At 47.0% G+C, this 24,822-nt stretch overlaps 3 annotated features.

Moving 5' to 3' along the window:
* Positions 452 to 1,128: an enhancer, noted in NCBI's record as "H3K27ac-H3K4me1 hESC enhancer chr2:237569805-237570481 (GRCh37/hg19 assembly coordinates)". NCBI's record gives its function as "activates a minimal SCP1, AML or CMV promoter by ChIP-STARR-seq in naive H9 embryonic stem cells {active_cell/tissue: H9 hESC(naive)}" and the evidence as "EXISTENCE:reporter gene assay evidence [ECO:0000049][PMID:30033119]".
* Positions 10,938 to 11,439: an enhancer, noted in NCBI's record as "H3K4me1 hESC enhancer chr2:237580291-237580792 (GRCh37/hg19 assembly coordinates)". NCBI's record gives its function as "activates a minimal SCP1, AML or CMV promoter by ChIP-STARR-seq in naive H9 embryonic stem cells {active_cell/tissue: H9 hESC(naive)}" and the evidence as "EXISTENCE:reporter gene assay evidence [ECO:0000049][PMID:30033119]".
* Positions 11,440 to 11,939: an enhancer, noted in NCBI's record as "H3K4me1 hESC enhancer chr2:237580793-237581292 (GRCh37/hg19 assembly coordinates)". NCBI's record gives its function as "activates a minimal SCP1, AML or CMV promoter by ChIP-STARR-seq in naive H9 embryonic stem cells {active_cell/tissue: H9 hESC(naive)}" and the evidence as "EXISTENCE:reporter gene assay evidence [ECO:0000049][PMID:30033119]".

Genomic DNA, 24,822 nt, shown 5'->3' on the forward strand with positions numbered 1-24,822 from the left:
TGACAGTAGGTAAAGTAGAATCAGTTATTTTGGGAGACATTATCAATATTCAGCTGCAATAAAAAATTAATGGGTAAAAGCAATTCTGATGTATAATAAAGATTAACTTCATTTTATGAGGCAGGCCATTCTCTGGTTGAGAAGAATTGAAGAAAAATAAACCACCTTTCCCTCTTCTGGGAGATCAGAATCTAGCAGTGTTTGATGTAGGGTACAGTGTGTATTTTTTAGAACTCTCAGTTGAGTGCATTAGAGTTTGCTGCACTATTTTGCAGTCACCTTTTCTCTTATTTAAAGAAAAAAAAAGCAAACTAAAATATACTCAAACTCCCCTTTTGCCTTTTACAGAGCCAAAGTGTCTGGTTCTCCAGCCAAAAATGTTTTTAACCCTTTGGCATTTATGAGACAAGAGTAAATAAGGTATGTCAGAGCTCTGAGAGGGGGGTGGGTGCTACACAGGGGAGGGTGCCCTAGACTCTGGAATGCTGGAGATGACTCACACTTGCTTGCAAGAACTGTGGTTAAATCTGCAGGTATTGGGGGAGCTAGTTGACTTCACACTGGTAGTTTGACATTGGCCACAGTGGGAGTACTGACACCATGAAAATCGGCAAGTGCTATAAGTCAGGGCTCTTCCACCCCACTCACCCATGAGGTTAAGTGTCCAGCACATGGCTGCCTAGGCTAGAATGGAATACAGTGAGGAGGCAGTTACTCAGCCCTTCTCCATCACTAGGGACTCAGAGGGTAAAATGGGTCACTTCGGAGGAAATGCTTTGGAAAACAATAAGGCTTTGGAATGTAGGCCAGGGACTGCAGGGGGCTTGGTTGCTTTCTCATTAGCCTTTGCCTCTGGGATTCTCTCACTCACACTCTGGTTTTGTTGAGTTCTGGGACCAGGGACGTTTCTCTGCTCTGGGTCCTTTTTGTGTGCTCAGAATTACTCAGCATTTGGAACTGAGACAGAGACAAGAGCTCCTGGGACAACAGAAAGTCCTCAGGAGGTGTGAGTGGGGAAGCTGGTTCACACCCAGTCCCCACGCACACCCATGTGGGCCTCACAGTGAAGGTCCAGGTAGAAAAGCTTGAGGAAAGAGAACAGGGCAAGAGCTTGTTTAGAAGCAATCCTGTTAGTCCTAGCCACTGGTCTGAACATATAAAAGAAAATCAAGCCAAACAGATGTTTTCCTCAGAGGCAGCCAGTAAGGGAAGGAATTATCTCCTTGAGTTGACATCCAATGTTGGGCTCCGGGAATGAAATTTCACAATGCATTGGACGTGGATGGCATGGTCTTTCTTCCTGTGGATTTAAGAATTAGTTTCAATTTAAAATGGGATGCTTTGAAATCTCAGGTCAGACTTTCTCCTAAACTTTTAAACCAATTCACAGTTCTGGCCATATTTCAGCCAGCAATGAGGAGTCAGAAGGCTGGCTCTCAATTTTTTTTAAAAAAGATTTTGCTTCAGCCAGCCAGCCATTGATCTGAAGGGTTCTAAGCGATTCTATTTCATTTCATTTAAACATTGGCTCCTTTATTTCCTCCCTCTTCTCACCAGCTAAAATTACAGGAGACCACCATTTTCGGGTGGAAAGAACATTTTGTGAAGTTCATTTGCTAAGCTTCTGCTATGAACCCACTTGGCCAAAGAGGGAAATCCTCCAGGAATTCAGTTTCACCAACCCTTCCCTCCACCCCGGGCTGCCGCTCTTCCTGCTGCTTTCATTTTAAGGGGACTGGGCATTTTTGCAATTTTGTCTTGACCATCATCATCTTTTTATTACTCATGGGGAACTTTCAAAACACCAGCTCCTTTTTTAAAAGTAGTTTTGTGTTCTTAGTGGTTTCACAATCTGAACTGAGCTGATGATTTGAGAAAATGTGGGCAGTTCATGGAATCATGAATGGTTAGAACCTTTCAGTTGAAGGGGACCCTAATCAAACATTCTACCCCAGTGGTTCTCAGTCAGGAGGGACTCTGTTCCCCAAGGGACACTTGGCAATGTCTGGAAACATTTTTGTCACTGCGGGGAGGGGGTTGCTACTGGTATCTGGTGGGTAGAGGCCAGGGTGGCTGCTAAACATCCTACAGTGCACAGGACCACCTCGCAGAACAAATAATTCTCTGGGTGAAAAGATCCATAGAGCTAAGTTTGAGAAACTCTGATCTACCCCAAAATTGAAGCCCTTCCAGCATCAGAGTGGACAGCTCCAGGGAAAGAGCAGCTCAAGAAACTACTCATGGGAGCAGCAGCCCTAAACTGGGGTCGACCCACAACGTGATGAGTGGGTGGCGAACTGTCAGGGCGGCAAGGGACAGGAGACCCACGAAAATTCATTTGGGGAAAGGGAAGACTTGGATGCCCAGCAGTCATCTTCTATGCTTCACTGGGCATAAACATATTCATTCAGACATTAGGTTTGATCGGTATGATTCCAGAGGGCAGGTTTAGAAATGTTGGGGGGAAGCTATGGGGAGGTTGAATTTGGCTTGGTGCGGAAGCACTCATACAGTCTCACCTAGTGAAATTTCATAAGCTCCGCTGTGTTGGCTCTTGGTGAGTTCACAGTTAAGAAAATCTTGAGGTTTCATTCATGCACTTTATTTAATTCCGTCTCCAGCCTCCTGCTTAATCCTGTTCTTATGCAGTTGATTTTTTGGCACGAGTGAAGTTCACGCTGGGCTGGAGGGAGAAGTGGGGAGAGTGAGGGATGAAATTCCAGGAGCAGGCCTGTTAGACTCTTCAAGTCCACGAACGCAGCCTCCCTGGCTCTCCTCCCAGTTGGATTGGCTTTACGGTCCTGTCAGTGGGACAGGCTATCTTGGCCAAACATGTGAATCTCCCTGAATGGGAAAAAGAAAAGGCAGAACATTAACTTAAAGTTTAGGATGCATGTGGGGAATGAAGGTGTGTGGATGGCTTATAGGATATCACTTGCTCTCCCAGAAACTCTGGACTGCCCTGCAGTAAAAACACCAAACCTCCTGCGCTGGGCTGAGAAGGGGCTTGAGCGTCGCCTGGGAAAATCTTTGACAGGCTGCCCAAACCGCAGCCCTAATCACTGAGGCACGTGGCTGACATTTTAGCAAGCTCACTTGGACTCGGAGCTTTCACAGAATGGAGACAAGGGAATAATTTCACTTTGGAGGACTGCACTTCTTTCCTTTACACCTCCCACTCCATCCTTCTTGTTAGCAAATACCCTGGGTGGGCAGATGTCACAGGAGCCGGCGGGGATGCTGGTTTGCATGGCAGCATCCCGCGGCGGAATACCAATGGCACAGCTCATGCTCTTTACTGAGGGGGTGGGACTCTGGAATTTTGGCATGATTGTAGTTGTTGCTGTAATCATGTTTTACATTAACAATGTTTCTTTCATCCAGATGGATTCTTAAGCGCTCGACAAACTTTATTAAGTAATTACAACAAGTTATAGACATTTAATTTGTCTATCATTAGGCACAGTTTCTGGGTGAATCATGGGATTTTTTTTGTTTTGTTTGGCCACACACAGAAACAGGATATTGATAGGGGACAGAGTAGACCTAGGGCTGTCAACTGGGCTTGGAAGAAGCCTGTCCTTGGTCTGAATTGGAAAAGGCACTAAGGCAACAGCCTCCCGGTGCAATCGTGTGAGTGAAGATCGGTGCAATCATGCGAGTGAAGATCACGGCAAACTTGACAATGGAGAAGAGGATACAGAAGCATTTCACACATCCCTGGGTTATTATTATTATTATTATTATTTCTAAATGGTCTACAAAACCATATGGAATCTCAATTTAAATACAGGAAAAGGCCGGGCATGGTGGCTCACACCTGTAATCCCAGCACTTTGGAAGGCCAAGGTGGGCAGATCACCTGAGGTCAGGAGTTTGAGACCATCCTGGCCAACGTGGTGAACTCCCATCTCTACTAAAATACAAAAATGAGCCGGGCGTGATGGTGGGCACCTGTAATCCCAGCTACTTGGGAGGCCGAGGCAGGAGAATCGCTTGAACCTGGGAGGTGGAGGTTGTAGTGAGTGGAGATGGCACCACTGCACTCTGGCCTGGGCGACAAAAACAAAACAAAACGAAACAAAACAAAACATACAAACAAAACAACCAACCAAACAAAAAAACCAACAGGAAAAAAAGCACAGGACAGCCCATGGGTCTGGAAGGCAGAGGCTCAAGGAGTCCTAGTGCAAAAGGGGCTTCCAGGACCACTCAGGTGGGAGCCTTTCAACCTGTGCCTCCTCTGAGGGCAGCTCAGGGGTTCTACAGCAGGAGGGAGGTGATGGGTCACCAGGAGGCAGGGCTCTTGGTCCCCGACATCTCCTTCTGACTGGTTTCACATACTGCATTTTACTCAAGATTTCTGCTGAAGAAAGGGTACCACTGCTAAAGAAAAGAAAAATAAAATGTGCAAACCTGACTGGTCCAGTTCCTGATATTATATGCGATGACCAGAGAGGTTATGCAGGTAGTCTGGGGTCACATAGCTAATAATTGGCCAAATTGAAGTGGGACCACGCTCTTTGTACAGCCAGCCTGAGGTGCCACCAAAGACAGTGCCAATTTCAGCAGGAAGGAGAACTCCTTAAGGGGCTGCAGGACTGGTCTTCCCAGACAGCTGTCCAAAGAGCTGCCTTTCTCCTCTTCCTTTAGGTTAAAAGATGGCAGATGAGTCAGGGCGCAGTGACTCACACCTGAAATTCCAGCACTTTGGGAGGCCGAGGTGGGCAGATCACGAGGTCAGGAGTTCGAGACCAGTCTGGCCAACATAGTGAAAACCCGTCTCTACTAAAAAAAAAAAAATACAAAAAATTAGCTGGGCATGGTGGTGTGCACCTGTAATCCCAGCTACCCGGAAGGCTGAGGCAGGAGAATCTCATGAGCCTGGGAGGTGGAGGTTGCAGTGAACCGAGATTGCGCCATTGCATTCCAGCCTGGGCGACAGTGTGATACTCTGCCTCAAAAAAAAAAAAAAAAAAAAAAAAAAAAAGATGGCAGATGAGTCATGAGCGATATGAATGACGGGGTAGGGAGAAGTTGGTGCTTCTGTAAGATCAAAGGAGGGAGAGAAAACCAAGGATGGAATGACAGGAGCACAGACTGGAACTGCTCTGATGTGGCTTGCGTGGAAATTCAGCCACCACCCCAATGACCACGTGGCCACCATGACCACAAGACTCAACATAGCCTTGTGCAGTGATGCATCAGGCACCACCTGCGGTATCTCCCCCTTCCCACCACGCCCTCGGAAGTAGCCATTCTCATCTCCACTTTGCAGCTAAATTGGTGGAGTTTTAAAGAAGTGAATAATTTACCCAAAGACATGGCTTGAAACCTGGGGTCTCTCCACCTGCCCGCCCCACCTGCCCTGAGAATGTGGATGGCACCAGGCCTCAGCCACTGGGACTGTTCCCTACTAACCCGTGAGCTCTGTTATGGCAGCTCTCTCCTATTTATCCTCTTATTCCAAGCATCTGATGTAGTACTTGGCACATGGTGAGCACTTGATGAAGAGTCCTTTGAGTTTAATGGATTGCATCCTATTTTCCCTTCAAGACTGGCCTCAGCTGGTTGGAATCACAGTTGCACTGCGTTACCGTAATCTGTGTTTGTGTTTGCTCAGGGATGTATTTGCTAGAATGAAAATTCCTGCAGGCAGGACTTCTCCATTGTCTCATTACTCCTGGGAATATGACTGTGGTGGGCAGAATAATAGCCTCCAAAGATGTTCCCATACTAATCCCTGGGAACTGTGGATATGTTAGTTACAGGGCAGAGGGGAAGCAACATTGCAGATGAACTTGAGGTTGTTAAGCAGATGATCTTAACACAGGGAGGTCATTCTGGATTTTCCAGGTGGGCCTAATGTCATTATAAGGGTCTTTGAATATAGAAGAGGGAGGACGAAGAGTCGGTCAGGAGAGCAGATTTGGGGATGGAAGCAGAAAACAGCGTGATCTAACTGTGGGTTATGGAGATGGAAGAGGCCACAAGCACAGGAATGCAGGCAGCCTTGAGAATCTGGAAAAGGCAGGGACTGGATTCTCCCCAGAGCCTCCAGAGAGAGCAGAGTCCTGCTCACACGTTGACTTCAGCCCTGCAGACCCATGTCAGACATGCGGCCTCCAGAACTGAAAGATGGTAAATGTGGGTTGTTTTAGGCTACGTTGTGGTGATTTGTTACAGCAGCAACGGGAAACTGATCGAGGTCCTTGGTACCGTGGGTAACTCGGCTGCTAAGAATTCTCTGCATTCTCGGGAGAGCCAAGGCCAGGGTGGCTTCTACTGTCTTTTTTTGAGATAAGGTCTCGCTCCGTAGCACAGGCTGGAGTGCAGCGGCGCGATCTTGGCTCACTGCAACCTCTGCCTCCTGAGTTCAAGGGATTCTCCAGCCTCAGCCTCCCAAGTAGCTGGGACTACAGGTGAGTGCCACCACACCTGACTAATTTTTGTATTTTTTGGTAGAGATGGGGTTTTGCTATATTGCCCAGACTATTCTCGAACTCCTGGGCTCAAGTGATTGACCCATCTTGGCCTCCCAAAGTGCTGGGATTATAGCTTCTCCTGCCTTTAATGGGGTGAATTTTGCCTGTGATACCCACCTGCCCACAGGTGACTTCTCTGAGAGAACAGGTGTTAGGACGAGAGTAGTTCTGGTCACTGCCTCGGCTTACCCCAAGGATGGGCTGAGATGCAGGGAGGACCTCTCCGTTCACCTGAGCAGCCAGACAACTCGAGGTACCAAGAGGTTTGCCAAGCTGGGCACAGTCCCCTGTGTATCTTCCCTACCTTCCAACAGACTTTATGTATGTTTTTATACACAAATGGCCAAAAACCCTGTAAGAGACTGAGCTGAGGTGTCAGCACAAGTTCCTGATGGAAAGGTCCAGCATGTTTCTCTAAGTGAATACCCACTAGTTCAATCATTCATTCAACGAGCACCATTGGCCCCCGCCACAAGCCAGGCATCACGCTGGGGGCTGGGGGCTGGGGTATCAAGAGCACATCTTCATGGCACCACCCTCCAGGGGCCACAGCCTTAGCTGTCGCAGGCCAGGCAGGTCACAGGGAGGAGTGGGTGGCATGGGAGGGCTGGGGAGTGGAGGAAGATGACCCAGGCCCAGCCCCTTGGCTCCATCTGATGTTCTCCAAGCAGAGATACAAACCCAGGGCCTTTGGATCACTTTGGTTGTCAGGGGAAGCCAGATATCTGTATATCTTAAAATGTGAAAATTTAAAAAAAATTTCCAATTAAAATTAATCATAAAAATATTGGCAACTAATTGAATTTTTAAAAATAGTGAAGACAGAACATTTTTGGGAGCTGGATTCAACCTTCCAGCCACTGGTTGGGTGCCTCTGGGCTAGTGGGAACTGGTCTTGTTGAATCTGGATCAAATGGCAAAAGTAACCTGGGAGAGACGAAGGGAAGGTCACTGGAATGATTTGAGGCCACTTATCACTCAACCTTGATGGGGCTTGCAGACTGCTGTCTGCAACTACAATGTGAGGGTTAAATGTAATTACAGACAGACAGTGCTTTGTGGCTGAGAGTTCTTACTCAATGAGGAATTTCTACATTTACTGATGGAATTGTGTTGCTATACTTAGTAGAAAGAAAGAAATAACAGTTCAAGATGAAGGACATCTCTGTCTCATGCTCCATTTAAGTCTTCTCCTTAGGATATCAAGGATGAATCATTTTCTTGTAGGTTGAAGTTACAGTGGAAGTTTGGAGTGACCTGTAGGTCACGGCACACACTTGAGTAAATTTGCACACCCCGGGATGCAGGCACTGGGCTTTTCTATTGTGGTTCAGCCAGCCACACAAGTTGGTGGTGTTTAAATTCACTGTGTTCTTGGCAGAACCCAAACTCTGCCCACCTGGGGAAACTGCCCCTGTCATTCTGCTGGAGCTGGCAGCTGGAGGGGAGGTTGGAGATTTGGTGATAACTTCTCCGATATTCCATCTACGAGGAGAAGGCCAGGCAGGGAGCAGCTGCGACTGCAAATACCAGGCCACAGGGCAGCTTCTCGCTGGAGTGCAGAAGGCCTCTGGAGGGGCAGCTAGTGGTGTCCCCTGCTGCCTTCTGGGGCCTGCTGGGATTGTACCTCTAATGTCCATCTGGTCGGTGGGGCCACGCGATGAGTCCAGAGTTGTGAGCAGATGTGCATCATCTGGGAGTGGGGCATTTATTTGCCGAGGTAAGGCCCTCCAGGACCCTCTTTTCCCTGAGCCCAGTTTGAGATGGAGGCTGCTCCATCGACCTGGTTCTTGGAGTGGCTGAGAGCCCCAGCTGTCCCTCTGGGGACATGTGTCTAAGTGAGAAACACCCTCTTGTTTAGGCTGAGATGTGGGGCTAGGTTATTATACGGTATCACCTGGCATTTCCTGACACCTGGAGCCACTCCATCGCTAGCTGCTACTAACTCTCATGGGTCGGTGGTCCAGGTGATAAGGACCAAGACCTTATCATGCTCTGGAGCTCCTGACTTCTGTGCCCCAAGGGGCCTCTTTTTTATTTTTTGAGTCGGAGTCCCACTCTGTTGCCAGGCTGGAGTGCAGTGGCATGATGTTGGCTCACTGAGACCTCCACCTCCTGGGTTCAACCGATTCTCCTGCCTCAGCCTCCCAAGTAGCTGGGACTACAGGAGTGTGCCACCATGCCTGGCTAATTTTGTATTTTTAGTAGAGACGGGGTTTCACCATGTTGGCCAGGATGGTCTCGATCTCTTGACCTCGTGATCTGCATGCCTCGGCCTCCCAAAGTGCTGGGATTACAGGTGTGAGCCACCTCACCCAGCCCCCAGGGGGCCTCTTAATAAGCACATCCCAGTCCACACCCCCATCCCGTGTGGCTGCAGGAAGTTCGTTCTTCGGCCAAATTCCCCACCACACTTCTGGTCATCCCAGGGATGCCTGTTCCAAGACCATCCTGGCGGTCATGGTCACAGCAGCCAGCAGTCCCCCTGAACCTTGGCTCAGGGCCCTTGCAGACCCCCTCTGAACATCTCCAGGCTAATTTCTGCTACCTCTGAACCCAGCTTCTCCCCATCAGAGACACAACCATTTCCATTAATGACTCAAAGCCAAGCAAAGACAGAGCTTTCACATCTAACACAACCTGACTAAAGGCCAGGGCAGTGGGGAGCTTATGATGTGGGCAAGTCAGCTTAGCGAGGTCTCCCAGATCTGAGGACTCCTACTCCCAGATGTGCCTTGCTTAGGGTGGAACCTTCTGGCTCCCCTGGTACTCAGCTCACCCCTGCAGCTGTGTTTTAGGGACCTTCCCCCTCCCTCCCTGCTGGGGCTGCCATTGGCCACAGCCTCCTTGCCAGAGTCCATGACCCCCAAGTGCTTGGAAGGAGAACAGGGTTCTCCTTGTCCCCAAGGCTGGCTGCTCTCCCTGTCATGATTCTTTTCCGAGTTACGAATCTGCCTGCAACAAAGGCAGCCTTTGACTTTCTTTACTGAACACAAATAGTTTAGTTCTTGAATATCTCTAACATCCCCATCTTGGGAGAGGATTTTGGTTTTACCAAAGTTGAGTAGCAATCCGCCTTCAAAGATGAGCCCAAACTTCCCGCCAGAGAGGCGGAGGCAGCTGCTGCCACTTCCAGTTGGCATTTACCACCTTCCCGGCCAGCATGGTGCCCTGCACCCACAAGGAGCCTGGCTTGGAGCAGTGTCACTGACTTCTCTGTGTGCTGGCTGTCACCATGGCCTGGCCACATGTTCTGAGCCCAAGACGTCCGGTGGATCTGTCACACCAGTGTCCTCATCCCCAGGCTATGTGGCCATCAAGTCCAGGAGAGGCTCACTGTCCCTCAGTCATGTAGGGCTCCCTCATCCTGGAGAGGCAGCTGGAGTTCCTAAGGAGCCAGGAGTGGCCCAACTCAGGGAGCTACTGGACACATAGCAGTCACTCTCCCTCATGTCAGGCTAATGGGCCCACTGGGAGGGCTGGGGTCTTCATGGCACAGGATGCCATGATGCCAGGGGGTCTCGCTTCTTTCCTGTTCCCTTCAGTGCAGTCTTGTGCCCAGGCCTGAGGGCAAGCATCTGTCCTTGCTCTTCCGGACCCAGTGGAATTATCTGGACAGAACTCCTAGATCTCAGGGTGTAGAAAGGCTTGAAACTTTTGCTGTCCCAGCCTGTCTGTGGGTAGGAGGTAGAGTTCCTGGTTGTGGTCTTTGTGGCCAATCTGTCGATAATGGAGCTGCTGTACTACAGTGAGGAGATTTGCAGTGTCCCCCGGACACTTGGTTGAGTTTTGCTTGGACTTCCTTGCCTGGCCAGTCTCTCAATGACTGAAAGGATCATTTGTATGGGTCTGATCCTGGCTTCCCAGAACAGGTGAGAGGACATGGGCTAGTGGCTGCCAGGACAATGGCTGCAACACACATTATAAATGTCATCGAGCCACATCAAATCACATTTGGAAAAAAAAGGACAAAGATCATGTATGAAGTTTTGACCCAAAAATAGTCATGGTTTTCACTTGTCTGTGTTCTCTTGCATCTTTTTTTCTATTATTTCACATCCCAGCCCAAGCATTCCCCATGTTCCTATGTGGTATTCTTATCCATCTTTGAAATGGTTTATAATCAACCACGATTTGAGTAATCGTTGCCATTGGACTTTGTTATGGCTTAAATTGTGTCTCTCAATTCTTATGCTGGAGTCCTAACCCCTGAGATATGACCTTATTTGGAGAGGGGGTCTTTGCAGAGGTAATCAAGGGAAAATGAGGTCACTAGGATAGGCCCAGAATCTAATGGCTGGGGTCCTTATGAGAATGGGAACCTTGGGGGCAGAGACAGGCACAGAGAGAGGATGACATGAAGAGACGCAGGCAGGAGTCACATGCAAGCCAAGGGGAGGCATGGGACAAAAATCCCTCCCAGCCCTGCAAGGAACCAGTGCTGCCCTCCCTTGATCTTGAACATCTTTGTCTCCAGAACTTTGAGAGAATGAATGCTTAAGCCTCCCAGTTTGCGGTACTTGTTACTGCAGTCCTGGTAGATGACTGCAGCTGTTTTCATCTATTGTTTGCTTTTATAATTAATTCCACAAGAACGAAAGCATAAATGGGTTCATGCTTTTGCTCCCCTGTCATTGATTCGTCTCCCATGCGCATAGCTCCTGGGTGACCTGAGGATGGAAGGAGGTCCCATTAGTGATTTCCCAAAGTACAGGGATTTGGGCAGTAACCCCATATCATCCTTTAAGCCCTTCCTAACCCCCTGTTGGACTTGGGAGCCCCTCAGAGCCCCTGGCACCTGAGCCCATCTCACCAGAGCACTCTCCCAGGGGCCAGCTGCTGCAGCGACCCCTCCTCCGGTTTGATTGTCTTTGCACCAAACCTGACCTCTGACAGCTGCTGAATGAGCCCATGCTGAGTGTGCGGGGGATGTGGGGAAGCCTGGGGCGGTGGTCACACTTGGGGCTGAGGACAGGTCTTGGCTCCAGCTGGTCTTTCCCACGGGCACAGGAGCCCTCACATGTGTGTATAGGAGGCAGGTTGTGCCTGGCATCAACTCTGGCTGAAGTGGAGGGGCTGAGGGATGCCCTGGCCATCAGGGAAGAGATCAGGGAAGAAGACACGGCCACAAACACCAAGCGTGGCCTGAGGATCTGCCCCAAGCCTGACAGCGCCATTTCAGGACCAGTCTTGCTTTTCTGACATAGAATAAATTGATAATCTATTGGTGTCAGCTGAGTGGAATTCGTAAGCATGTGAAACGCTAAAGCCTGCTGCTGGAAATGTTGTCATGTGCATTTTTGAAATGGAAGTGTCAGTGTTCTAGAAGTAATACGAGTCAGGGTGCTCAGCTCATTGAGCTGCCAAGCTTCATCTTAACAAAATAAAAAAGAAGGCTCAGAGAGAGAGCAGCAGGGAATGTGGACCCTTCCAAGTGGGGTGAAGCTCGAGGAAGATCCCCAAGTATAGCTGGAACTCTAAAAACCCAAGCTCTGCCTGCGAGTGAGGGGAGGCTCCTCTCCGGCCTGCTCTGCCAGGCCAGGCAGGGCTGTGGAAGGCTGGTCCTTGCACAACCACATATAGCTGTGGGGTAAGTTGAGCAAATGTAGGAAGAGGCTGGAGGATTCTTGTCTAGTAAACCTGAATATTGTCATTGTGATGGCATCCATTGAACAAGCTCCCCTGTGACCTGAGGACGGGAGGGGCCCGATAGTGATTGCCCAAGTGTAGGGATTTGGTCAGCAACCCCATATTGTCAGCATGCATTTTTATAGGTTGCCTCTGTATTTTGGTGTGTAGGTGTGAGTTTGTGTATGCATGTGTATTTGTGGGTATGAAAGTGTGAACATGTGGGTACACATGTGAATACATACCAGTATATGTACACATTTGATCAGGTACACAACTGTTGGTGTGTGGGGGTATGTACATGTGAATATGGAAGTGTGAGGGTGGGGGAGGTGTGCATGTGTGTGTGAGTGGGCATGCATGTGTGTGCATGTGAGTGTGTGCACTTGTGAGTATGTGGGTATGCATGTGTGTGGGTGTGTATGTGTGAGTGGGTGTGCACGTCTGCGTGTGTGGGTGTGCGTGTGTGAGTGTGCACATGTGTGAGTGTGTACATGTGTGGGGGGGTGCGTGGGTGTGCACGTGTGTGTGAGTGGGTGTGCATGTGTGCATGTGTGTTGACGTGTGTGGGTGTGCATGTGTGTGCGAGTGGGTATGCATTGTGCATGTGTGTGTGTGTGAGTGGGTGTGCACATGTGAGTGTGTGTGGTTGTCAGCTATAACTTCCACTTCCTCCCACCACCTTCTGCAAGATGGAAAACATTCAGAGCAGGGCTAGAAAGCACCCACCTTGACTCTGAAGCAAGCAGGTGACTGACCTTTCTGGGCAAGGATGTGGAAAAGGGGATGAGAGGCGACTGCGCTGAGATTAGCCTGATGTCAGGATGGCTAGAACAATGAGGTGGACGCCGGACACTTCCTCTGGTGGCTGAGGGAATTTGCAAGACAGGATGCTCTCAGGAACACTTAGTTCACACAGGGGTATGAAATAGGATCGGTTTTCCCTTCATGTTTTATAGTTAGTACTGGTTATTGTGTTATCGCAGTGCACGGTGAAGGAATTCTGATTACTTACTGTCCAGCCGTGCTGGGGATGAGGAGCTCTTGTTCACAGGCTGGCCAGTGCACTGACCAGTGGGGCTCCCAAATCGCCGGCTCTGGGGCATGTCATGCACACCTGCACCAGGGTACCTGGGAGGCCCCGCAGATGCCATGGTGTGAAGCATTTGGGAGGGCAGCACCACAGGGGCAGAGGAATCCACATCTTTAGTAAGAACAATAGCCAACATTCCTCCATGCTTTGGGGCCTGGAGCTAAGAGTTCTAGGTGCATTATCTCATTTAACTCTCAGACAGACTCTGTGTTTAAAGAGCCCTCTAGGTCAGCAGTCCCCAGCCTTTTTGGCTCCAGGGATCAGTGCCATGGAAGACCATTTTTCCACAGAGGGTGTGGGAGGTGGGGGGATGGTTTGGGGATGAAACCGTTCCACCTCAGATCATCAGGCATTAGATTCTCATAAGGAGCATGCAACCTACATCCCTCTGGTATGAAGGTCACGGTAGGGTCGGTGCTCCTATGAGAATCTAATGCCACCATGGATCTAACAGGAGGCTGAGCTCAGGCAGTAAAGCTCACCTCCTGCTGTGTGGTCCAGTTCCTAACAGGCCATGGACCCGTCCTCGGTCCAGAGGTTGGGGTCCTCTGATCTAGGTGATGTTGTGCTTGGAAAGAGCCCTTGGGAAGATCAGGAGACTGGGTGCTTCTCCAATCCTGCCACAGTGGGGAAGAGACCGGGCCTCCCAGGTCTCTTCTACCTGTTATGCACTGTGAGTGAGACTCTGCCTTGTCGTCTCCTGTCTAGAGGGAGGGAGGATGACTCCTGGGGAGAGTGTAGTCATCCTCAGACCCCCAGAATCCAATGACCACAATTCACTGTCTGGGAGTCAGTAGCTTCCTAAGGGTCCAGATATCTGGCATTTATTTTCTCTTGAAGGACTGGGCAAGTTTGCAGTTTCTCCCCCAGACTTTAAAGAATAGATTTTCTTGGAGCCACGCAGCACGAGCGAAGCTCAGACCCCAATTAAAGCTGTGTCTGGCTGTGGTGGCGGCGGCTTTCCTGTGGCTCGAGGGCTGGGAGCTTGGAAGAAAGTGAACTTGTGCAAAGTTGGTCTGGTTGCATGCATGGCTTCCAACACCCACATTTTCCTCAAGGCTGAGTTGGTGGGCATTTATTTTCCATCGTAAGATTAGTTAGAGAATCCAGATGGTTTTCTGATTTGCCAAAAGCATGCATTCAAGATTAAAAAAAAAACACCCAAGTGCACTACTTTAGTAGTCATTTGGAACGTTATAATTTTTCCCCGTTTACAGATACAGAAAATATGCAACTCAGTGAATGTGAAAGTCTCTCTTGGGCAAACCCTGCCTCCCAACACAGGAGAATTTAATCTCCTAGGAAACATATCTGGACATGTACCTCTAAGTATTTATTCGGATGCAAGAATTCAGAATATGTGCTGAATTTAAACTCTGACACACAGGGACTGAGGTTTGCTGCTGAAAATACCCAGCGTTTTGTCAAGATGAAGTCATTTTCTTTTTTCTGTCAGCAGGTGATGGGGAAAAACTTAGACATCAAGGCTGATTAGAGAATGTCATTTCAAGTTTATTCTTGGGTATGAGTGAGGGTGTAAGCCTTGGTTTGGGGCTATTTCCTTCCAGGAATGTATTACTTTGCTTGCATTCTCACTTGTAATGCTTTTGAGAAACATGGCTGTTTGAAGAAGAGAGTAATTTGTATCTCTGCCCTCATTTTACAGATCAGGAAACTGAGGCTCAAGAAGGGGATTTGACTTTTGCACACAGTTAGTTCATGGCAGAAGTGAGATCAGACTCCAGAAATCTAATGTCCAAGTCTTGGGAATTTCTCTGCACCCTGAGATGTCTCCTGATTGATTTCCTGACACAGAATGAATGTCCTGCTTCTTAGTCATGATAATTCACTCAAGTCATGTCCTTATGAAAATTCCCAATGATAATGCACATGTTAAAGCAATGTAAAAGTTTTGAATTTGCAATTTTAAACTTTCTTCCAATGCAAGGAAAATCATGCTTTCTTTATAAGATGTTAGACTTCAAAATACACTTAATTTGATTGTAGGCATAGCTTTCTCTGATCGACTCAGAGAAATATTATTGTCATGCAAAGGCCGTGTAGTACTGCTGTGGTTTTTGCTGTGTGAACTTAAAAAAGGGAATCTTTTTTTCTATCTATCTTAGTCAACTGACGTGGGGGTTGATTCTCTGGTCTTTATACCAGCTTACATTCAGTCGTATTAACTGTAGGAAAATGCAAACAGGCTTATGGTCCTTTAGTTTTATTTTGTACTTCTGCTTTCCTCTATAATGCAGCAATTTAAAGAACGGAACAAATAAATGGAAGATATGGAAATGTGGTTAAACTGTTGGCTCAGAATAATAGAACCCTTTCATGTTCTCTCCAGAACTCCCTATTCATGTATCATGATGCCAAGTTTTGGCAAATAAGCCAAGTTTGGATTAAGTTACAGCCAAGTATGTTGCCTTTGCCCATTCAATTTATTCTTGGCAAACTTCAGAGAGTATTTATAATAAAGTCCCATTTCGAACATTCTAGTGCCCCAGTGGAGTTCTAATAACACTGGGTATTTATTTAATGTCTAACTCTAGGAGTTCAAAGCACTTTACAGACATTCCTTGACTGATCTTAATATCCCTGCAAGATTTTACAGATTGGAAAAGTCAATTGAGGCATGGAGACTTGCTTGAGATCACCCAGGAAGACCATGGGATCCCCTAAATTAATCACATACCTCCTGACACTTAGAAGTTTCTGTGCCTTAGATGGTGAAGCATTCCCAACCTCTTATCTAAATGTTGTTGAATGGAGAGTATTTGTTTATTTCTCCATGGAGATCTTTAATTAAGGAAAGTAGAAACCCCACAAACACCTCTGTTTATGTGTCATAGAATTAATTGGGCAATATCTCTTAAAAACTTTGATTCCTTGGCAATGAAGTTAACATTTTGGTAGTTAGAGAACAAACAGTTGGGAGTGTGTCCCATTTAGATGAAACAATGGTAGTGATTTTTCCATGGCTTCCAGAGAAGATTCTCAATAGCTTAGGGTGTGTGTGTGCGGAGGGGAGCAGGCAGGGCAGGGGGAGCTGGGGAGGTTTGGTGGGATCACACAGCTGCAGAGTGGGGAGGTGGCATCAAAGAAAAGTGTTCAAGTATCTCTGTGGTGTCTTCCACCACCCAAAAGACATCACCATTCGTCTCTCTGTGATTCTGGGGCACTGGCTATAAGATAGTGACTTAGCACTCTGGGGACATGCTTTGTATTTGCCAGGTTAAGTTTTATATTGTGCCTGAGATGGAAAAGACACCACATTGAGCTTGCTGCAGATGACTAAAAGAAAGAGGTAGAGTTTGAAGCCCGAGTGCTTGATGGCAACCTGAGTCCTGGTCAAGACGTTTTCCTATGTCTCTCATGCAAGGAAGTAGTGATGATTTTGCCAATTGCTTCTCTGAAGCACGTGTGGAAAGGCCATTTCAAGGGCTTCTCCCGATAATTGCAGAGGTGGCGTCTGCTCCAACAGTCCTGGCCTGGGTCTTGGGGGATCACATAAAAGAAAAGGCTCTTGTCTGTACAACCTGTTTATTTTACAACCGCCATATGGTCCGAGGTCTTCTCTGAGATTGTTTGTCGGAGCCAGAATTGAAGCTTGCCCTACCATTTCCCATGTTCTTCCTTCTCTAACATCTGGGCACCTAAATGCGGGATCACGCTGCAGCTGGGGTTGTTCTCTGCAGCACATGGAGAGGCATCTAGGGTGCACTCAATGCAGACCCTGGAGCTGGACTGAGTTTAATCATTGGAGACACTCAGCAGCTGTGTGACGGGGCATGAGCCACTTACTTCTTTGCACCTCAGTTTCCTCATCTGTAAAATGGCAATAATACTACTAATAGTATCTGCTTCATGAAGATGAAATGGACTGATAATATTAAACTCTTAATACTGTGCTTGGCATATAATTAGTGCCTTATTGGTTTAGTAGCTATATTATTATTCCCATGAACTGTCCAGATTCTCTTTCTCTCCTGGAAACAGATGGAAAGATTGACAATAAAACAAACATAGGTGGGGGCCTATGCATAGGGGGGTCATTAGCACTGAGAGTTGACAGGGACAACCTCCATGGCCGAGCCTGCAGAGAAACTTTTTTTTTTTTTTTGAGATGGAGTCTTGCTCTTTTGCCCAGGCTGGAGTGCAGTGGCACGATCTCGGCTCACTGCAACCTCCATCTCCCTAGTTCAAATGATTCTGCTGCCTCAGCCTCCTGAGTATCTGGGACTACAGGCGCCCACCACCATGCCCAGCTAATTTTTGGATTTTTAGTAGAGATAGAGTTTCACCACGTTGACCAGGCTGGTCTCAAACTCCTGACCTCAGGTGATCCACCTGCCTTGGGTTTACAGGCATGAGCCACCGCAGTTGGCCCTGATAAGGAACTTTTGCTGGATGAAATGCACACGGGACAACACAGCTGAGGCCGCAGAAGGCAGCACATTTTTCCCCAGGGATCCGTGAGGGCTGTGGCTGTTGGAAGTGGGTGTTTCAGGGAACTTCCTGAGACTCTAGCCTGGGGACGCAGAGCTCCAGTTGAGAGTGGGCCAAAGTGAAGACGCCTCTTGGCATCCCTTTGCCCTGGCAGAGCAGTGACCCCCAGAGAAGGCCAAGTTGGGCAGGGGGGCAGCCCAAAGACTTCTTGATGTGGAGTTTATCTCTAGGGAGCTTCTCCTGGCCCCAGCAGCAGCAGGCGACTTCCCTGAGCACTTTTGTGACCCACAGTTTCCTTCTGGGTGGGAAGAGGCACTCCCTCAATTTGGAGAGCGTGGTGCCAGAAAGAGGGCTAGCTAAAGTCTCCCAGGCACTAGAGTGGTGGCCTGGCTAGACGGACAGCCAGACGTGGACAAGGAGGGGTTGGTGTGAGGGTTTCACTTGCCGGAGAAGGCATCGGCAGAGAGCTTCTGACCAAGGGGCTGACAAAGTTCTGCTCGCCATTGGGCTGCTGAGACCCGACCGGCCTCCAGCTGGAAGTCTGGAGCAGGGGTAAGGGGCAGGAAACAGCAAATGTACCCGGAAAGAAGAGGACCCTCAGAGTGTCTCACGCTGTTTTTGGTTAGACTGTATCCTGTGACTGACCCAAGCCAACACGCTTATCCATGACAAGATTCTGCAACATTAAAGAAGGAGATTAACTTATATCACAGCCAACAGGAGAAAACAGATTTAAACACATTTACTACTGGAAACAGGAGGAAAACTTTGACATCATCTTCTTCCCCTTTTATAGATTCTGTGCAGTAAGAGATGAACTATAAGACAGGGATGAAAAAGGAAGTGGGAGACTTATGGAAAATTGGGAAGAGAAAAATAAGTCTGTAACAAACAGAATTTAAAACGGGATTAGAAAAAGTCAAAGTCAATCAAACTTCAAAAAGTTGAATCAGTCAATCTGTAAAAGCTCTTCTAAGTTAAAGTGAAATGGTAAAGAAATGAAGAATATTAGGAAAAATATAATAGCTATTGATGAGACATAATGGTTTCAAGGTACTTATAATTTCTGTTCCTAAAGAAAAATATCTAACAAAGGAAGAAAGCTATTCAATCAGACCATAGAAGTGATCTGCCTTGGACTTTAAAGCTAAAACCAAATAAAAACAACAGCAAAGCACTCTGAATTGACATTGATAAAAAGAGATTTGCCAGAAATAAGTAGTCGTGGCAGATAATTTCTTGGCTTTTAAGAAATTACTTAAAATGGAAAAATAAGTTAGGAGAGCAAGGATTTTAAGAATATGATTAATAAGCTTGAATTGAGAGCTAAGAGTCGACTGGTATGGTCTACAAAGGAAGACTCCAGCATCTTCTTACGTTCCCATGGGATAGTTACAAAAATTGACTGTATATTTAACTATTTTTAAAAATTCAATAAATTTCTAAGAGCAGAAATAGTACCATCCACATTCTTTGACCACAGTGCAATAAAACTAGAGTTAAATAATGAAGATATAAACAGGAAACTGCAGGCATTGGAAAATTAAAACAAAGCAAAACAAAACGTTTCTAAATAACTGCTGGGTCAAAGATGAAATCAAAACCACAACTGTAAACTATTTAAATGTATTTATGCAAAAGTTTAGCTTCAGCAATGCATATTACAGCATTGACTGCGGCAGTGAAAAAAATGGAACATCCAAAATACCAAACACAAGGAGCTAGTGAAAACATCAGGACGCACCCTTGCCATGGAACACTCTGTGGCCATTAAAACATTTTTATGGGCACGGCAAGATGCTTGGGATATGTCTCACATAAAGGAACTGTAGATACAGAGTCATCCCACTTTTTCAACTGTGGTTATGTTTTATCTGTGGGTGGTAGGGAAATATACATTTTTTCTTTTTGCTTGTGGCTATTTTCTACTTTGTCTTGATGGGTATTAACTACAGATCAAAATCAACAAACACGGAAAAAGGGGAGAAGGCCAGGGTGGGGAGATGATATATGTAATGGCCAAGGGAAACACCCAATTACTGTAGATGGGTCCCTGAGGGTGTGGAATTCACTGCAGCAGGCTCTGCCTGTCTGTATATAATCTTCAGAAAACATGTCCTTCATAGACACACACTTAAATATAGTTTCATTAGCAACGTTATGAATTTCCTATTAATAGGCCCCAGTTGACGATCTCCACTATTTGCACGGTAACTGCAACCCACTTACTAATTAGTAATGGTTTAGGGATCCTGAACTGAGTTGGTAATGTTTACTTTTATTTCCAGAAGTGGGTGGCATGTATAAACAAGACGAATTCCTCTGAGCCAAGATTCTGAGCGATGGCTGCAGGGTACAATCACCCCTGATACCCCAAAGCACACCTTGGTCCAGAATCTATTTGCCAGGGATTCCACTGGATGATTAGGTGATTCAGATACATGAAGCTGGATGCCTTCCTCCCAACTTTATTATAATGATCCTTGGATTGGGTAGAACGTATCCAAGACTTCTGCTGTCAACACACAAGTGAATTATCCATCACATGGCACCTGCTGCCCAGACAGCCCACTCTGCCTGGACCTAAAGGGCTGAGCCAGGAGTGATGGGGCCCATCGGAATCTCTATCCCACAATTTGTACCCAAGACCCGATGAATCTCATTGGTCTTTATTGGGTGTTTAGATGGAGAAGTGACGTAAATGTGGACCAGGGGAAGCTGTGAGTTCATTGAGGGGAGATCACTGGACTGCCAGTGAGGTCATTCCACAGGGTCGTAGAGGGTGAGTGATGAGAGGTGATGGTGGGAGGGAAGAGGGAGCCAGCACAGGAGAGGGGAATCTGGGAAGTCCCTCCAGAGGCCCCCTCTGCACTTCCTGCCATTGAGCTCCTCTGCCAGCCCAACAATCCCCCCTTTAGTCTCTCTGGGATTCTGTTACAGGCAACCAAGCAATTAACAGTCAGGCCAGTTACCTTGTGCTTGATATTTAAGAAACTCAGCTTCCACATATGGATAACAAAGCAATGTGAAACAGCTTTAAAACATAAGTGAGACTTTAATCATATTCACATTTTCTTCTTCAAAATGTAACAGCCTGCAAACCTTATAGACAAATTGGACAAAAAGCTTCTACAAACCAAAAAACAAGTAATAACAGGATAAATAACAGTTTAAAAATTATTTGCAGAACTTGATCTCAATGAATATAGAGATAATGAAGCAGTTGCAGGGAAAGTGTTGTCATGAACTAGAAATGCTAAACACCAAAAGCATTTAATTAAGAGCCATAATACGTACGAGGCAGCAGTGTGAACTGCAGAATGATTGGCCATTCCTAAAAAGAAGTGAAAAATGACTGCATGAAGGTAAACAAGATTACTTCAGATGCGATTGCCAGAACCGCCATCTAGTGTTCCCAGATTTAGCAAATAAATACACAAGACATCTGGGTAAATTTGAATTTCAGATAACCATTGACCAACATTTTTTAGGGTAAGCATATCCCAAATATTGCATGAAATATACTAATTTTTTTTTGTTACTGCTGATCTAGAATTCAAATTTAACTGGATGTCCTATATTTTATCCAGCACCCCTACCTGCATCTCAAGAATGGCTTAATGAATTTTAAAAAGTATAGGTTGGTACAAAAGTTATTACGGTTTCTGTCATTGCTTTTAATGGTAGAAATCGCAATTACTTTTGCACCAGCCAATAATATTCATGAAATTGCATTCAGCTCTCTCTCACTTAGGAAATTCTTGACCTTCACAACTCTATTTCATCTAATCCCTTTCCATTAAAAAGATATCCTTAGCAATGTGCTTTGTGTCAAGAGAGTTGCAATTCTGTTCATGTAGTGTGCCTGGTATTGCAAATGGTGCTGGTATGTTGCACACACAATATTTTCAATCCAGCTTCTAAAAGGTGTTGAGAAATGTTTGTTACTGCTGGTATATTTCCTTAGGAAGCAGGATACCAGGACATCTTGAGGGCTGGATAGGCAAAGTGGAAACCTGGTAACTAATCTCTCATCCCAAAACCAAAAAAAAAAAAAAAATCTAAAAACAATCATTGGGAAGATTATTTAATATATGTATTGAAAACAAAAGCCATTTCCAATGCATTTGTTGGTGTTTGATCCCATGTAGTGGAGGCCTTAGTAACTGGCTCCTTCCTGAGCTTTCTGGGACTTGTGAAGATCTCATGTGTATGTTCCTATGGGAACTTTGACCCCTGGGGACATCTATATAGTGAGAAAACTTAGTGGCGTTAACATTTCTAAAAGGTTCTAGAGTTATTTTATGCAAAGACCTTGTTTCACCTTCAGCTCCTTTCTCCACTGTGCCCTGAGCTGAGGGGACTAAGAAGTGCCAGCCAGGACTCTGGGTCTGAGAGATGCTGCCTGTATGGGAACTTGTGCTCTGCTGTGTGGACAAAAGGCCACCGTGAAGCATGCTTCTGGAGGCAGAGTGAAGTGGAGGTGGGGGCTCAGCTTGGAGGTCGGGACCTGCTCGTTGCATCCCTTCTGTGCCTCCACTCCTATGGAACTGTGTGACCCAGGGAGAGATGATTAACTGTCCCCGGCCTCAGGTGTAAGATGCCCAGTTGGCTGCTGCCAACACACCTGTCAACCTCGCCCTATCCCACAGCCAGTAGCTGATGCACCTCCACGTCCTTCTGCTTGCCATCTGAGGTCACTCTTTTGTAAAACCAAAAACTGCTTAGTCATAGAAATAAAATGCAAGTTCCAGTCTCTCCTCATGCTGGACTCGGATCACTGCTGCTCAGGCTGCTGCAAGGGAGCCAGGGTGGGAGAGAGGCTGGCCAGTCTGTGCTGTCCACTTCCTGGAGGTTCATGCTGGATGTTCCCTCCCCTGGGACCTTGCCTGTCCTGCACCTGGCTACAGATGCTGGGCCCACAGCCAGACGGCAGGGAGCACAGCCAACCGGCATCAGGGTCGAGATTAAAACCCGTCTCCTGGTTCCTGGGCCAGTGTCACTGGGAAACGGGCTCAGAGGGAGGAGTCAGAAGGAGAGATCCACACCAGCTCTCTCTCTCCCTTTCTCTCTCCGCCATCTTGCCTCTCTCTTCCCCTTTCCTCTGGTGCTAAGAAAGCTTTGTAACTCCCGCAGGATGACACTGCTCAGAGGAATCACAGGCTTGGGGGCTTCCAGATTTGTTCCCAGAACTCCACTTTTGAGCCCCATGAGTGCCTGGGATTTGGGAGTCAGGAATTTTTAAACCACCTGGGTCATTGTGGGATACCAGCGAGTTAGAAATTCAGTTATGTTGTGTTCATAGCTCAGAAAGCAGAGTCCTTTGAGCTGCAACTCCTGTTGTCCAACCTCTGGGAGCAGTCCTAAGGTGGGGGCACCGCAGCACACCCTGCTCCTGATGCTTGCCCAGTCCCCCCAAGCCTACTCTGCAGGGCGAGGACTGGGATGAGGTGGGCTAAGCAGGGCTCCCACTGTTGGATTACTGATGGAGGGTGTCCAGGTTCTTGGCGTTTTGAACAAAGATTTGGACAAAATGCACAAACAAAGCAAGGACAGAATGAAGAAGCAAAGGCAGAGATTTGTTGAAAATGAAAGTACGCTCCACAGGGTGGGAGCAGGCCCGAACGCAGGGGCTCAAGAGCCCTGTTACAGAATTTTTGGGGGTTTAAATACCCTCTAGAGGTTTCCATTGGTTACTTGGTGTACACCCTATGTAAATGAAGAGGATGAAATAAAGTTACAAAATCATTGACTTGGTGTACGCTGTATGCAAATGGAGAAGATATTTCCTGTCATAGCTGATGAGTTTCCGTTTGATTTAGTTCTAGGAAGTCAGCGTGAATCGGCTTTGCGTTCCCTGCCTCCAGACCCTATTTTCCTGCCTCATTTGGGAGAAGATTCTAATCCAGAACCCGTGGCTCTTCACGCGTACAGAACCAGCTCCACACAGAGACCCCAGAAACCTGCAGATGGTGCAGTCTCGGGAAAGTTTTGTGAACACATGGCGAGAAAATATCAGTGCCAGAGAAATAAGTGGGTGAAAGACTCTGTGAGTTTTGGTGATATTATGATATGGTTTTGATTTACTGGTATTGACTGAAAATAAAAGAGGGCACAGATCTTTTCTGAAAGTGAATTTTACTTTTGTCTCCGTGGACTTGAGAAAAAGAAAGTCACTACAGAGACACTCGCATCTGCCCAATCCTGGGAAGCAAGAACCTATAACACTGCGTTGGCCCTGCTTCAAAAACGAAACAAAGCAACTTCATAAATCCTGGGGCTTGGGCTGGTGCTTGTCATAGGAGGAACCATGCTGCCCCCTCTAAGATGTGCAAGGCTCTGGGACAATGTGCTGGGGGCTTAATGTAACCTGAGAGGTGGGCGGGGCCAATCACCTGCCTCAGTCTTGCAGCTGAGCCTAGGTGCAGAGGGGACCCTACCTCCCTGAGGCCATGCTTGCCAGTAACTGGCAGAGCTGGGATTTAACTCTCAGAGTGTCTATCTCCAAAACATTCTTCTTGTCTAAATTAGGGAGAAAGAGGCAAACCAGTGTCACATAAACACTGTGTGCCCCTCTTCACTTTCCAAATCTTTCTTCCTAACTGTGAATCCTTCCCAGTTTGAGACCCAACAGGCAAGCTCTCTCTGACCTTCCTCCCCGTGAGAATCCGCTGTCATTTCCTGTGCAGTGGACGGGGCCTGGTAACTCGCTGCTGTGGCCTCCAGGTGGTGAAGAGCATGGGGTTTAGGGAGTCTGTAAGAGCAAGTGTTTCAACCCCAGTTCTTTCTCTACATAGGGTGATGGCCAAACTCTCTAAGCTCTCTGTAAAGTGGAGACCATAGTATCTACTTTTTTTTTGGATTGCTGTAAGGATTAAGTGAGAAAATTCCGTAAACTTAGTAGCATGAAACCTGGCACATAGAAGGAATCCACTATTTAATAGCTATTATAATAGATTAATAATATTCATGTATTTTGCCATTATTTTGCCTCAACTTGACTTTTGTATTTTAAGCCTTTCTCCTCTACCAGGATTAAAAGACCTTCTGTATCTGACCCTCATGTAGCAGCAAGCATGTGTGACTGGAAGGACCCCACTATCACCCTTTGAATGAGGCTGGTCCCATGGCAATAGTCAAATGGCTGGTGTAGCCCAGTCACTG

Source organism: Homo sapiens, chromosome 2, assembly GCF_000001405.40.
Source record: "Homo sapiens chromosome 2, GRCh38.p14 Primary Assembly".
In the NCBI taxonomy this organism is placed as follows: domain Eukaryota; kingdom Metazoa; phylum Chordata; class Mammalia; order Primates; family Hominidae; genus Homo; species Homo sapiens.